The sequence below is a fragment of the Homo sapiens genome, chromosome 11 (assembly GCF_000001405.40).
Source record: "Homo sapiens chromosome 11, GRCh38.p14 Primary Assembly".
In the NCBI taxonomy this organism is placed as follows: Eukaryota; Metazoa; Chordata; class Mammalia; order Primates; family Hominidae; genus Homo; species Homo sapiens.
The window spans coordinates 84,240,649-84,256,253 of record NC_000011.10 but is presented as its reverse complement, the minus strand read 5'-3'; the positions used below and the strand labels follow the sequence as shown (position 1 = coordinate 84,256,253).

The 15,605-nt window shown below is 37.7% G+C and overlaps 1 protein-coding gene across 52 annotated transcripts in view; it reads left to right on the top strand.

Moving 5' to 3' along the window:
* Nucleotides 1–15,605, top strand: part of DLG2 (discs large MAGUK scaffold protein 2) — a 2,173,362-nt gene that overhangs the window by 1,372,120 nt on the left and 785,637 nt on the right. For 51 of the 52 annotated variants that reach the window (NR_165353.1, NM_001351274.2, XM_017017256.3 and 48 more), the window contains one exon: nt 4,963–5,016. The exons of the other annotated variant lie outside the window; for it this stretch is intronic. Coding sequence is in view for 50 of the 51 variants with exons in the window: in NM_001351274.2 (NP_001338203.1) it covers nt 4,963–5,016 (54 nt within the window). In the remaining variant the exon portion in view is untranslated. The remainder of the gene's footprint in view (nt 1–4,962; nt 5,017–15,605) is intronic. 52 annotated transcript variants of the gene reach the window in all.

Below are 15,605 nucleotides of genomic sequence, written 5' to 3'. Positions count from 1 at the left end.
GACACTTAACACATATCAAAAGGTAACCACATTAGTCAGAATCAATGAACTCCTTTGTAAAGTTGCATTCATTTTGTCAGATTATTTTTTATTTAGAGTCTCTTGGAAGCAAGCAAAAAAAAAAGTGTATCTATTACTAGTATAAACAAAATTGTTCATGTAATCTGAGAACATTTGTATGTCACATGAAGCCCAAGGATAGGAAGGTGGCTGACATTCATTAATAACTTGATCTATCATTTAAATTATATCAGTATTCCTTCTGCTTGCTTCTTGCTTCTCTGTAATTAGCTGTACTAGTCCCTTATGCTGAAAACTGGCTTTCTGTGCATGAAAGAGAATGTCATGTAAAAGGCAAACAACACAAAAAAAGGCTTCATAGTTTGGTTTACTTAAGAAAGAATTTTTTTTTCTTCATCCCTTATAGTTTCAAAAATCTTGCCTAGATGTATATAAAGATAAATCTTGAATTTTCTGATTAAAGAAAGATTTTGTTCTAGATTTTTCATAAATCTCCTTCCAGTTAATGGAAAAAAGCATATTAAAGAAGGACACTAGAATCTGCTGAGTCACCAGTTTGATTTAGGCATCCAATTAAAGAGGATATCCAAAAGGAAGAAAGAGAGTGTATGGCCGGACGTGGTGGCTCACACCTGTACTCCCAGCGCTTTGGGGGCCGAGGCGTGTGGATCACATGAGGTCAGGAGTTTGAGACCAGCCTGGGCAACCTGGCAAAACTGCATCTCTACTAAAAATACAAAAATTAGCCAGGCGTGGTGGCAGGTGCCTGTAATCCCAGCTACTTGGGAGGCTGAGGCAGAAGAATCACTTGAACCTGGAAGGTGAAGTTTGCAGTGAGCCGAGATTGCACCACTGTACTCCAGCCTGGGTGATAGAGCGAGACCCCATCTCAAAAATAATAATAAAATAAAGAGGGTGTATATGGCAGGGCAGTGTGAAATGTGGAGAAAATACTTGGTGGGAACTATCAAAGCAAGTGGATAGTTGGTTTTTAGGACTCAGAAACAAACTAGATCAAACTAGTCATAGCCTCTCTTGACTGTAAAAGTGAACAAAGAATCAGGAGCCAGATGAGCTAAAGGAAGATTTGGAATTACCAACTGGTGAGAAGAGCACACTCATAGGCCATGCTCAGAATTCATCTATGCTCTGTGTAGTCTGGGGTGGGCTGTGAAGGTCCTGGAGCAGGGCAGTGGGAGAGTCTTCAGAGAGCCTGGTGTAGCAGCACAGTGGGGTAGTGTGTCATTCAGAAGAGCCTACCGTGGCATCTCTTTGGCAGTCACACCAGGGCGTTACCAATGTCAGGTGTATGTGATATATGTTTATTTTTACACAATCTTGTTTGTTCATGCATTTTTAATGACTTTTAGAGAGGTAGGTGTTAGCAGTGGCTTCTGGATCCCTTTGGCACCAAGAAGGAATAATAAACTTTCCATATAACATAGATTCCACATAACATAGATCTTATCCTTCAAATTCTTGTCCTCTACTTCAAGTGGAGTCCATTCACAGACTCTACATCCTAGAGTTATGAAATTATTAATTATTATTTTATAAAAGCTGAATTTAGTTAAGTAATAGTAACTAAACAAAGAAAGAAAGTGATATTGGATATTGGAAAAGTAGTCACAGTCTTGGTATCATGAGATTTTGGGGTTCCAGTTCTTTAGAAGTGCTTTACAAAGCTCGTAAAGATATATTACTTTCCTTTATACCTACTTCTATACTTTATCACTACCTTTAGTCAATAAATTCTAAGTATTTCTCAGTATTCTTTGAGCTCCTTCTGTATACCCAAGTGCTGTGGAGAATTCTAGAAAAGTATACAATACTTGCCAATTTTTAGACATACAGTCTTCTTGGAAAGACTAAATTTACATTAAAAAATGAAAAATAGCAACATAAACATACAAAAGTTTTAAATGGCATTACATAGGAAATAGGCGTATGTATAAAATTTATTCCCATAACACATTATTATAATCTGTAAGAAAAAAAGCAAAGATGGGATGAAAGCCCCAAATAAAATTAATACCTATTTATTAATCAAAGCTATACTAGAAAATATGGGGAAATACAAGAATTACATGTGATATTCAGAGAGTTTTCAGTCTATTCTTGGATATGAGGCACACTTTTGTGAGTCATGGAAACCAAACAGAAAGCATAGGAGAGATGTCATCAAAACTAAAAACCTTTTTAAAAATACATACTAAGGCTTCACCAGACTGTGTTCAACGTCTAACCTGCAATATCCTTAGGCATCTTTTGCCTTCAGGGTGGTCTTTGCTTTGTCTAGTTCTTGTATGGTACTCTAGTATAGGGCTGACATATCACTGCAAGACTCTTGTGATAGAACCACCTAGATACTGGGATTATGAAGCAGCTTAGTGGGGAAAAATGAATTTTGAGGTCAGAAAAAACAATATTCAAATGTCAAATCTCATTTTCACTGAGCCTCATTTTCCTCATATATAACATAGAAATAGTGATAATAATGCCTCATCAGTAAGGTTTTGTGGAGATTAAATGAGGATATATATGCTTATGTATATATTTAATAAATGGTAATACATACTTAATAAGCAGTAATTATTGTTATTATTGCCTTTGACATGAGCTGTTTTAGAACCACAATCTAAACAGGCCTCTTATTAGTGCAGTTGTAGCCACCAACATAGCATTGAGATCTCTGCAGTGTAAACAGTTTACAAGCCATCCAATAATATATCTTTACAGTAGTCTATCTTAAGAGACACTTACTACTAATAATATTTAACATTAATTCTGAAATGTACTGTTTACCAAGCACACTCAACTATATCACCTCATTTGATCTTCAACCTTTTTGGAAAGTTGTTACTACTATTCCCATTCTACACGGAAGGAAAATTAATCAGAGAGGGTTAGTGGACTTGCCCTAAGATCACACCACTAGGAAGTCACTGAGCCCCCAAATCATACAATCAGAAAGTTGCTAAACCAACCTTGAGCCCATGTCTTCTGACTGCAGACCTCATACCTTTTTCTCTTCTCTACATGCCTCTTATTATTTTTTTTTAATGAGATCCAGTAAAAACTGTCTTTCTCCAGAGTCTTTATTTACCCACAAGATACGTCCCATTGAGAATCATGAAAATATTATGACTAACTAGTTGATCCATTATATACATATGTATGCCAAGGTTATGTTTTCCATGCCCAGTGTTTTTGGTAAAGACATGAAATTTTGTTTTGTAAAACCTGCTGGATTGCTATTTGTTTTATCATTTGATTAGGATTCCACAGAATAGATTGACATTAAAAAGCTGTTAACTCTGTTAACTCCAGAGGGCACAGCTAATGAAATACCCCAAAATTTGAGCACTTTCCAAAACCACCATGTCGTATAGAAGAGTTCTCTATTAATCAAGATGAAAGTATGTCCTTTATCTAAATGAAATCTGTAATTTGAGACAAAGATGAAAGATCCTTTGGAGGATAAAGCAAAAGTTGTTGTGAAAATTCTAGAAACTAAAAAGTAAAGATAGCTCTACTCAATATTCATGAAGTTAGACTGGTGATGCAAATAGAGATTGCAATCTCTTATTTTCTAGTGATTTGCCTTGTAGCACTCCTGTATCAGTTTTACACAGATTCCCGCTAAACTTTAAAGAGAATTACTGCAAATCGTACAATTTTTTTAAAAAAAAGAAAGTTGAACATATCCAATATGATTTTCTGTCATATTTGACTGTCAATGTTCTATCTAGGGATTTAGAGGTTTATGATTAGAGGTGCATAAATAATAAAATATGGCAGGGCATGCTTGTTCACGCCTGTATTGGGAGGCTGAGGCGGGCGAATCACGAGGTCAGGAGTTGAGAGCAGCCTGGTCAATATGGTGAAACCCCGTCTGTACTAAAAATACAAAAATTAGCTGGGCATGGTGGCACATGCCTGTAGTTCCAGCTACTCGGGAGGATGAGACAGAAGAATCGTTGAACTGGGGAGGCAGAGGTTGCAGTGACCCGAGTTTGCACCACTGCACACTCCAGCATGGGCGACAGAGGAACACTTCATCTCAAAAAAAAAAAAAAAAAAAAAAAAAAAGAAAGAAAGAAAATACAGGATACAGCACGCATAATGTGTAAACGTAGATGTTGATAAGTGAAGCCTTTTTGTATTGAATATAGCATACTCTCAAAAGGCAGTTTGAAGAGAATAACTATGAATATTGGTTTAGGTTTAATTTTGCTTCCTTGAGAGAGAAATCAAATTCCTTTAGCAAAGTCATTTCATAAAGAAATGATACAGGTCGAGTGCGGTAGCTCATGCCTATAATCCCAGCACTTTGGGAGTCCGAGGTGGGTAGATCACAAGGTCAGGAGATCAAGACCATCCTGGCCAATGTGGGAAACCCCGTCTCTACTAAAAATACAGCAGTTAGCTGGGTGTGGCGGTGTGTGCCTGTAGTCGTAGCTACTTGGGAGGCTGAGGCAGGAGAATTGCCTGAACCAGGAGGCGGAGGCTGAGTGAGCCGAGATTGCACCACTGCACTCCAGCCTGGGTGACAGAGCGAGATTCTTGTCTCACAAAAAAAAAAAAAAAAGAAAGAAAAGATACAAGTTTTAACTCTTACCCAATTTATTAGAAATCCTTGCCTTACACATAGCAGAAATCCTCACCTCCTGCATTGTTTTGTAGAATGTAAGAGAAAATGAATGTAAATTATATGAATGCTTACTTAATTTCTTTATGTGGTAAATGTAACAAATATTTGAGTTGGGGGAAGGTACAGAAACTCTTAGTCATTTTATTTACCCTACTAACACTTGACACGGTGCCTGTAGAGGTCCTCAAGAAATGCCTGTTGAGCTCTTTGTTAAATAAGTTAACAGAAATAATCTGTCTCAGAATACACTATTCATTATTTAATTTTTTTTCTATTTCTTTTTTCAGGCCAGTCCTGCTCCTATAATTGTCAACACAGATACTTTGGACACAATTCCTTATGTAAGTAACTTTTTCATTACTACCTTCTTTTAAAACTGTGGTAGAACTTAATTGGCTGAATTTAAATTCAATTCACATTTAGTTTCACCCAAACTAAATAATCTTATGGAATGACATGTAGTTTTGTAAATTTTCTTTTAATAATTTCTAAATCTTGTCTTAGTCATCAAATATTTCCCTCTTTCATTCATGTTTTGTAAAACACAAGGGCCCATTATGAAACAAAAATAAACAACGCTGTTTAAATAGTGTTAGTTTGCTAAGTGGCTCACTGAAAAGAGACTGAATTGCTCATAGACACTAGCAAACTTCTTTGGGTTTCTTATAAAAGGAATATTCAAGTCAATTTCTGTGATAGTCTGGAACCTAAAGTAAGTAATCAATAAATATTTTTATGGATTTTATTGGGCTTCTAATAAGAAGTGGCCAAAAGTTTCGTGAGGGTAGAGCCTATCTATATATAATGAAAGTTATGGTTTTATGAAAGCATGAGCATGAGATAATAGGATCAAGCAAACCAATGAAGCCTAGGATTCTGTACCTGTAACACAACCACTATGATGGCAAAAGTTCTTGAAGATAGAGTCTGGCTGGGCAGGGAAGATTGGAGACCAGCTATAGGCCACAATGTGGGTGAGTGGTTGACATTATGGAGGTCCAACAAGGCTTTGTGAGTGGGCGCTAGCTGATGAGTGGAGGATAGTGATCAAACAAGATGGGATAGCCACAGATGCATGCTAGACAGGGGGTATGAAGCTGAGAAGAAGGGCTACAAGGGTAATGGACAACAACAAACAGATTCCTGGCCTTTGATTAAATGAGTAAAACACAGAAAGCACTTAGAACAGTACCTAGCACAAAGTAAGTGCTTGGTAAGTACTGGCTCTTCTCAGTTTTAGCCCACAGCCTCAAATCCCTTCAATGACCAAGCAAATCACAGAAACAAATGGAGCAGTCAGAGTGGGGCCTGTGGGGAATAGAAAGCACATGGCCATTTAAAGAGAGCAACTGCCACTTGGAATCCACTGGTGCCAGATCATTTTACAAAATAAGATGGAAATTTGTACATGTTTGCAATTTCTAAATACAGGCAACTAATTTTCAAAAGTGCAAACACTGTGTCTGCCAAACAAAGTGTGTCTAGTCCATAGGCTGCCTTTTGAGAGATGTTACCTCAAATACCTCAAAAGAACTGGCGGTCCTGAGCAGGTTCTGGCGGTCCTGAGCAGGTTCTGCAATCCGGGACTCAGCCACAGGGGAGCAGAATGTCAGAACTGGAGTACAAGGTTGGGACTTGATTATAAGAATGAGGAACTAAAACTGGGACACAGGGTCAGGACAAGAATAACAGCAAGCTTGACTTAATGCTGAATCACCTGAACTACTGAACTAGGGCTTCTTAAATCTTTCTGAACAAGAATAGTTTGGGACCAGACCGGAAACAAGGTTAGGCTTACTGGAAGGAGCCAAGAGACCCCAACACTGGAAAGTAAAGGGCTCTGTAGAAGCAAACAAAGCAATGTCTTAAAGGTACCTACATCCACTATTCTCTTACTCTTCCTACCTTTCTTTACTTACCAAACTTCTGTAACAGTGTATGCCTAACACTGCTGTAGGCACTTAACAAATTTTAACTCATTTAATCCTCATAACAATCCTATGAGGTAGGTACTATTAATTTCTCTATTTTTACACTTGGGAAAAAATGAGTCATAAAGAGGTCAAGTAACTGGTTCAAGGACTCACAGTAAGAGGCAGAGTCAAGAGTCAATCCAGATAGCTTGGCTGTAGAGTTAGAAGTCTTATTTAATTTCTAACATGCTGTTACCTGTGTTTCTTTCTTCCCTCCCTTGTTTTCTGCCTGTCAGCTTGGGAACATAGTTTCCTTACTTACTCCCCTGATACATGCAGATTTGGATGAGAGATAACTTGTCACAGAAGCTTCAATATATTCAGGACAGGGATCCATTTATATATGAAGGAATCCTATGTCCCAAAAAATCTCTTCACTATAGCCATTGTCAAAGCATGTAAGCAGTGCTCTCAAGAAGTAGGCCTGGAGCACAGAGAGCTGATTTTGTAAGTAAGACCACTTTCTTGTGGTGGATCTAAATTATTTCAAAGCCTCCTATTAGGGTTCTGGTGGCGTAACTGCCAGATATCCTCATGTAGAAATAATTTATCAGTAAGATCTAAGGGTCTTTTGTAGACATGTTCAATTGGTATCCCAAATGATTAGCTAGTAAAATGAGTCGCAAATAACAAATTCATCAAAATTCTTCCCATTCTTCCAAATACCAGGTTTGTATCTGACTTTGAGTCCTTCAAAAATTATTTTTAATCATCTTTTTTGTTGTTGCTGTTGAGACAGAGTCTTGCTCTATCACCCAGGCTGGAGTACAAATGGCTGGAGCCTGATCTTGGCTCACTGCAACCTCTGCCTCCCAGGTTCAAGTGACTCTCTTGCCTCAGCCTCCCGAGTAGCTGGGACTACAGGAGTGCACCACCATGCCTGGCTAATTTTTTTTTGTTTTTTGTATTTTTTAGTAGAGACGAGTTTTTGCCATGTTGGCCAGGCTGATCTTGAACTTCTGATCTCAGTGATCTGCCCACCTCGGCCTCCCAAAGTGCTGGGATTACGAGTGTAAGCCACTATTCCTGGCCTAATCAACTTTTTCATACTTAATGTAACCCACTTTGTGCTTCCTTAAGGGTAAGGATCTTTATAGTGGTTTGTGAGGAGCTTGATATGATGAAAATGGCCCAATTATCATGGTAGTATGTTCTTAAGTAATTTATTTAATCTCTATGCACCTAAATTAACCTATAAGAGAGGACTTATAATACCTGCCTCAGAGATTTTCTTAGCTTCTGGTTGATAGCAGCTAAAGTATTTATCATTTTTTTGAAAAAAAAAATAAACACTTATGAGGTAAAACATGCTAAATTCTAGGAGAATGGTAAATATGAATACCTTCCCCGATGTAGAAAAAACATGAATACATTATGTATTGAAAATGGCAGATTTAGTGCATACTCATTAATGTGGATAAGCTTTGGTTCTTGGCAGAGTCCCAACTCTCCCCTTTGTTCCTGACTCACGGGGTAACCTTGAACAAATTACTGTTCCTTTCACAGTCTATTTTCTCATTCCCCAGTGTTCTATACTTTGTTTTCCTCTTTTCTTCCTCATGTTCTAGTTGTTCACATAATTTCAGCTCTATTTAATGAAAAAACGATTTCAGAGTTCCCTAGGGCATTTTAGTCATGTTGCGTAAGAACATTTCCTTCTTAAAAATATTATCAGAATGCCAAGCTTTAACATATATTAAAGTCTTTCTAAAAAATAATTTCATTGCAAGTAAATGTATTAATTTTGCTAATTAGCAAATTTGATTTTTGATAGAAATGGTTCTTGTGAAAATGGTTCCTTGGCACAAATGCAAATGACAATTGAATAGCTACAGGAAATTTCTAGGGCCAAAGGGAATTTTTATGTAAGTGTCAAACAAAAGTACAAAATATATTTAAAGAGACTTCTTTTTATTAAGGAAGGTAAGTTAAGAGACATTAGAGCTTGCATTAATGAAGGGGTCACTGAGGTTCTTACATGAAAATGCCTTAAGTAAGCTCTGTCTTATATGAGGTCATGATATATTAGGGTTGGGTATGACCTTAAATGTGACATAGTCTAGCTTCTCATGCAAAGCAGGAATCCCTATATGAAAATTAAAATCACCCAAGCAGAAACAAGGAAAGATATTTTTCCACTTCAATACTCTCTAGTTTCTATTTTTTGCTCAATATTTTTATTCTTCCCCATTACATGTTGAATAGTGTTTCATGCCAGGTACTGAAAGTACTTTGTTCTTAGGGAGCTCAGAGTGATTAGAGCCTGCTTGTGAATCCAGTTCCCTGAAGGTTGACTCAGCCAAATAATAATGCTTTACTCTCTGGTACTCTGCAACCAACTGACATTGCGCTCTCCTCTCCTTTCAGCAGACACTTTAGAGTTCAATATTGAACAGCACCCTAACAAATAGTATTCTTTATGCTTTAGAAAATAAAATTAGAGAGATTCTAGAATGCTTTTTTATTTTGCTCTAACCTTCTCTAATATTCTTTTTATATTTTGGTAATATTCTGACCTCTTTGATAGAAATGCACTGTTGAGAGAGGTATACTTGAGAATCATGAGTTTTCCATCTTGTTAAATATCTTGGAGTTCAATGAACACAAACCTTTCATTTTAAAGATATGGATTTTCTATCTCAACTAGTAAATGGTAGTGCTTGATCTACCATTTACTGTTACCTCATGTAATTGCCAATTTTTGGTGTGTAACCACAACCAAAAAAAAATCAGCGGCAATAAGCATTTTTTTCTTCTCTATCAGTTAGCTAGGACAGCTGCTTCAGGCTGCAGAATACAGTAGTCTCACCTTATCCATGGATGACACATTCCAAATCTCCTGGTGGATGCCTGAAGCTGCAGATAATGCCAAATCCTATATACATGAATTTTCCATCTTAACTATCAGGCACTGTGGCCATAACTTTTGCAGTTTGGGGTGCCACAGCAAAACTAACATGATTATATTTTTCCTTCTTCACAATATCATGGATGAAAGATTCATTTTTACTATAGATCTTAGCAGCTTCATCATACAATGCTGTCTCTTTTCTTTTTTCTTAAGTCAGGAATTTTCAAGTTTTCCCTTAAAGGAAACACTTTAGGGCTTCTCTTAAGCATTTCTGAATTGTCAGCATCACTATTCTTGTGCTTTGGGGCCATTATTAAGTAAAATAAGAGTTACTTGAACACAGAAACTACTATACCAGGATAGTCAATTTGATCACCCAGACAGCTAATAAGTGAATAAAGGGCAGGTAACATCTGCAGCACAGATACCCTAAACAAAGAAATAACTCACATCCTGGAAGAGATGGAGTGGGACAGTGAGAGATTTCATCATACTACTCAGAATAGAAAGCAATTTGCAACTTATGAATTGTTTATTTCTGGAATTCTCCATTTAATATTTTCAGACAATGGTTGACAGTAGATAACTGAAACTGCAGAATGTGAAACCACGAATAAGTGGGTGAGTGGGGTGCCATTGTACCAGGTTGGCTGGGGCATCTCTGCTTCAGAAGTTTCATTCTGGGGACCAGGAGGTGGGACAGTAGCTATCCAGGGTATGTTTTCATATTGTGATAGTCAAAGGACAAGAAATCAAGCCCGTGACACAAACACAGTTAAAGCTTCTGCTCACCTTACATCCACCAACACCCAATTGGCCAGAATAAGTCATGTTGCCAAGCTCGAATTAGGGGAAGAGTGAGTATTTGCTAAACAATAAACTAGTACATCAGGGCCTTAAATAAAGGGCTGAGAATCTGTGTATGTCCCTTTATGAGAATAAAAAATAAAAACAAAGCAGATATAAAAGAAAAAATCTTGTACTTTATATTGTAGGTCAATGGCACTAAACAAAGTGTCAGAGGGACCTGGTTCAACTGATAGGGAGAGTGAATGTGTAGATTATTGTATGTTGTCTAAGGGCAAACACTGAGAAGTAAAAGAAACATCTAGCAAGTACTGGCAGTACAATGCCTTTACTTTCCTATAAGACACTTTGTTGCTGAAATTTTGTTTCTAGAGGTAGAAATAATAGTGGAGACAAGGGAGAAGTTTCAGGTCTCTTGCTTGGAAAACCCTCCTAGGAAAGTAAGGGAGAGAGAAAAGTAGAAGAAAAAGAGAACACAAATAAGAGTTAGGTTATGAAGAATATGAGTGGGTCCTTAGTAGTATATCCCCCATTGGATTTGGCTGCCAAGAAAGTTATTTATGTAAAAGTTATTTGTGGACAATTATAATATCATATAATATCAGCAACATTTTTACAGAGTGCTTTCAATGTGAAAAGGCCATTGGATGCAAACAAAACTATGATTCTGGGGCCAAGGACAAGAGAGTGAACTAAAGGGAAAAAGATGAACCAAAAAAAAGGCTGAACACATGAGTGTCAGTGACAAGAAAAAGGATACTATGGGTTCAGTGACATAGAGACACAATTGAATTAGCAATGAGCTTCACTCAGGAGCCAGAGAATGGGTTTGTGTCTAAGAGATGTTTTAAGTAACATTTAAATGGCACTGCTGATTGATACCAGCATCAGGAAGCTGAGGACAAGAGCTCTCTGAGAAGGAAGTTGCCATATTACAGAAGTGAGGTGACCAAGCACTTGTTGTAGGTCTGTACATTTAGACATTAATTTATTTGAGTGTAAATAACATATTCTTATGATTTAGGCTATGATTCACTTTTGATTGGACCATTTTCCATAATTGCCTCTGATGGGAAAGAAAGGAGAAATATGTGTGTTCCTTTGAACCATCCTGGCAGTGATTAATAATGGTATGATATTTTGGAAGAATTTGCTGATTTTAGTACATTTATCTTTCAACAAACATGCTTTCTTCTTTTTGTGGTTTTTCCCATGGACATTGTTAAAACTATATTGTTAATGTTTTCATCTATTGGGAATGCAGTTCCAAATTTTAAAATCCTTACTTACCAGGAAACAGCTTTATTTTGTCTCAACTACTCCTATGAAGCAATAGGAATTTAGCAATAGAGGCAAAGCTGTCAATATTTGCTCTGGTGTCAAACCTAGCCAATCTAAATTCATTTCTCAACTGCCACAATCAGCAGAATCCCTACTCTTAACTGCTTGTTGCTTTGCTTTATAAGCAAGAGGTGGGCTCACGCCTGTAATCCCAGCACTTTGGGAGGCCGAGGCGGGTGGATCAACTGAGGTCAGGAGTTTGAGACTAGCCTGGCCGACATGCTGAAACCCTGTCTCTACTAAAAATAGAAAAAAATTACCCAGGTGTGGTGGTGGGCACCTGTAATCCCAGCTGCTTGGGAGGCTGAGACAAGAGAATCACTTGAACCCGGGAGGCGGAGGTTGCAATGAGCTGAGATTGTGCCACTGCACTCCCACCCTGGGTGAGAGAGTGAGACTCCACCTCAGGGAAAAAAAAAAGAAAATGAAGTTTCTGATTCACTAGGTCTGGGATGCGTCAGTCTGCATTTCTAATAAGTTGCCAGGTGAGGTTGATGCTGCTTAGTTGTACATCATACTTTGAGTAACAAAAGAGTATAAAGAGAGAAACTAGCCTTTGGCTTTATGCACGACTGGGTTGTAAACCCACCTCTGCCAGTTAGTTCTTTTCTTGAGTTTTGGTTAAGTCACATCACCTCTCTAAGCCTCTGTTTCATTATATATAAAATAGGAATAATACTACCTGCCTTGCAGGGGTTGTTATGAATACTCATCCTAGTATGCAGAAGGGGCTTAATGAATATTCATCGTGAGACTGGGGGTAAGGTGGGTGTATCTATGATAAAATAAAACATTTCTCTGACTGAATCTTGAACTGGTGAGTCAAAATGAGAAGCCACTGCTAGTTCAGGAGTTGGGCCAGTAGCAGTTACATAGGTCCATGGCTTACCTACATCTAGACCTTTGCTGCTCAGAGTGTGACCCATGGACTAACAGCAGTGATATTACCTGGGAGTTTGTGAGCAATAGAATCTAAAGTTCCACCAAAGACCTACTAAATCAGAAACTATGTTTTAAAATAAAAACTTCAGTGATTTGTATGCATATTTAAGTTTGAGAAACACTGCTCAATAAGAAACTTATTTTTTGGTTTGGATCCTGATGTTTTGTTCCTTCACTACATGTTTTGGCCTGCAGTTGAGATAGCTACCATTTTCTAACTCTTTTACTTTAAACATATACACATCTATAAGGAAAGAGCTCTATTTATTCAACAAATTGAACACACTATGAACAACTACTATGTTGTCCTACTTTCTAGACCTTTGCTTTCCAAAAAAGTAGTTATAAGTCACATATGGTTATTTAAATTTAATTAAAATAAAATAATACAAAATTACAAATTCATTCCTCAGTTGCACTAGCCACATTTCAAGTGCTTAGTAGCCAGTAGGGCTAATGGGTATTGTATTAAACAATGCAGATATGGAATTGTCCATTATTCCAGAAAGTTCTATCAGACAGAGCTGTTGTAGGCAATACATAATAAGAAAGAAATAGAAGAGATAAGGGAGCTAATTTGTTATCAAGAAATGATTATACTCTAGGTTCTTTATATGTGAGAGTGTATATATATATATATATATATAGAGAGAGAGAGAGAGAGAGAGAGAACCTAATTAATCATCAAAACTATCCTTCCAATTTTTGTGTGTTGGTTTAATTTCCTCCTTTTTTAAGTTGACTATTTTCAAATCTTCTAAATAGTCAGCACTCTCCAGGAATTGTGGGATATGCTCACATGGAGACATGATCCCTGTTCTCATGGCTCTTAAAAGCTTAACTTTGAAGACTCTTAAACATGATACACATGGAGGCAAATGTCAGCAATTACTGAAAGCTTTCTTAAAAGTTCAGTGATTCATCATTTTCTTATTGTAAAATTATAAAATTCCTATTTTGGCCAGGTGCGGTGGCTCACGCCTGTAATCCCAGCATTATGGGAGGCCGAGGTGGGCAAATTACCTGAGGTTAGAAGTTCGAGACCAGCCTGGCCAACATGGTGAAACCGTGTCTCTAATAAAAATACAAAAATTAGCCGGGCACAGTGGCAGACACCTGTAATCCCAGCTACTTGGGAGGCTGAGGCAGGAGAATCAGTTGAACCTGGGAGGCAGCAGTTGCAGTGAGCCGGGATCATGCCATTGCACTCCAGCCTGGGTGACAGAGCAAGACTCCATTTCAAAAAAAAAAAAAGTTCTATTTAGATTGGGATGATTTTTTAAAAGCCAAGTCAAAACAAAAACAAAAACAAAAAAAAACCAACAGAAGACCTGACCTACTTACCATTCACAAACTAATTCACTTTTTTTGCCTTGCATTACCCTTGCAGAGGGCAGTTTGTTGACTACTGTACTCATAGCTTCTCATTTACTGGGAAGCCCTTACTTAGGCTTGTCATTTTGGATTTAGAGCCAACGGGAAAATAAAACGGTTGTCCAAGTGAAGAATGTGACTGTTATGTGAAAGTAGCAATATTGGCCCGTCTTTCTTAGAGGGGTTCCCCTAAAAGCCTTACCTACCTGGACAGAGAAACCACTCTTATTCCAAGAAGTGTAACCTAGCAGAGCACTTTTAAGAACAAGGGGGAAATAATCCTGAAAAATATTTGTGTAGCTTCTCAAGCATAAAGCTGCTCAAGGTGCAGTCTGTGAACTGGCAGCGTCAGGTCTCACAGGTCAGGTTGTTAGAATCGTGGGATCTCCAGCTCCTCCCCAAAGCTATAGAATCAGAATCTCTGAGAGTGGAACCAAAAAATTTGTTCTTAAAAGTACCTCAGGTGATTCTTAGGATTGCTGAAGTTTGAGAGATGCTGCTCTACAATTTACAAGAGATTTTTAAAAGCTAGTGGGAGACCTTAAGCAGCTCTAGTTGCTAAACTGAAGTGGAGGTGAAAGTAGGAAATACTGCATACAGGAAGGACAAAATAAACATATCTAAGGCACAATGATCAGACATTTAGCATGAATCTGAATGAGTGTTTAATCCTGGTGGGTTTTTTTTTTCTTCTTTTTGAATCACTTGGGACCTTTAAACACATTGTTTCCTAGTCTAATGAATAGACATGTTAATGAAAATGGATAATGCATGGTGAAAAGCACATGTTGTTAAACACGCCTTGCTTATCTCTGCCTGGCTTATTCTTACATATCCTAAAGGGTTCAGCTTAAATTATGCTTCTTCTAGGAAAGTGAGATTCAGGGTAGAGTTCCTCTTAGGAGCTTCCCCGAAGGCTCTTCTTCCTATCAAGGTAGTTATCACACTGAATTGCAGCTATTTCATTAATAGTTGATCTTTCTCTCTAGAATGTAAACTTCATGAAGCACAAAGAAAATATTGCTTTATCTTTCCCACAGTTATACCTCAGAAACCCTGCACATTTTTACTGACTGGTGGAAGGCAGGCAGACAGGCAGGAAGGGAAGAAACTACAATAATAAGCCATCCTATTTCAAGGAATCAGAGAAAGGGAGAATTTTGTCTAGCTCTTAAAGAATAAAAAGACATTTCTAGGCAAAGTAGGTAAAAGGCATTCCAAGAAGAGGGAAGTGCAAGTACAAAGGTCAGAGTTCAGGCAACTCACATGTCCTGAGTTTCATCCATATGGAGCACAGAGCAATAGCATAATATGAGGTTGGGTTGAGTCTGATTGTGAAGGCCTTTTTTGCTTGGTATCGGCTTTGGACTTTAACATGTAGGCATTGCTGGTAGCATTATCTTCTCATATATTTAGGATATTATGACATCTGATTTTATCACTCTATTTCTAGGTCTTAATTTTTATCTGCTATATTGTAGGTGCCCTGAAACATATTTTGAATAAAGCCAAAGACTTAATAGTGATCACCTAAGAACAACTGACACAAGCTCCTCTTGAGCCTTTTCTACATTTTCCTATATCCTTACCTTTGTTCACCCTGTTCAATTAGTCCACAATGCCTTTTCCTCCATTCCCATCT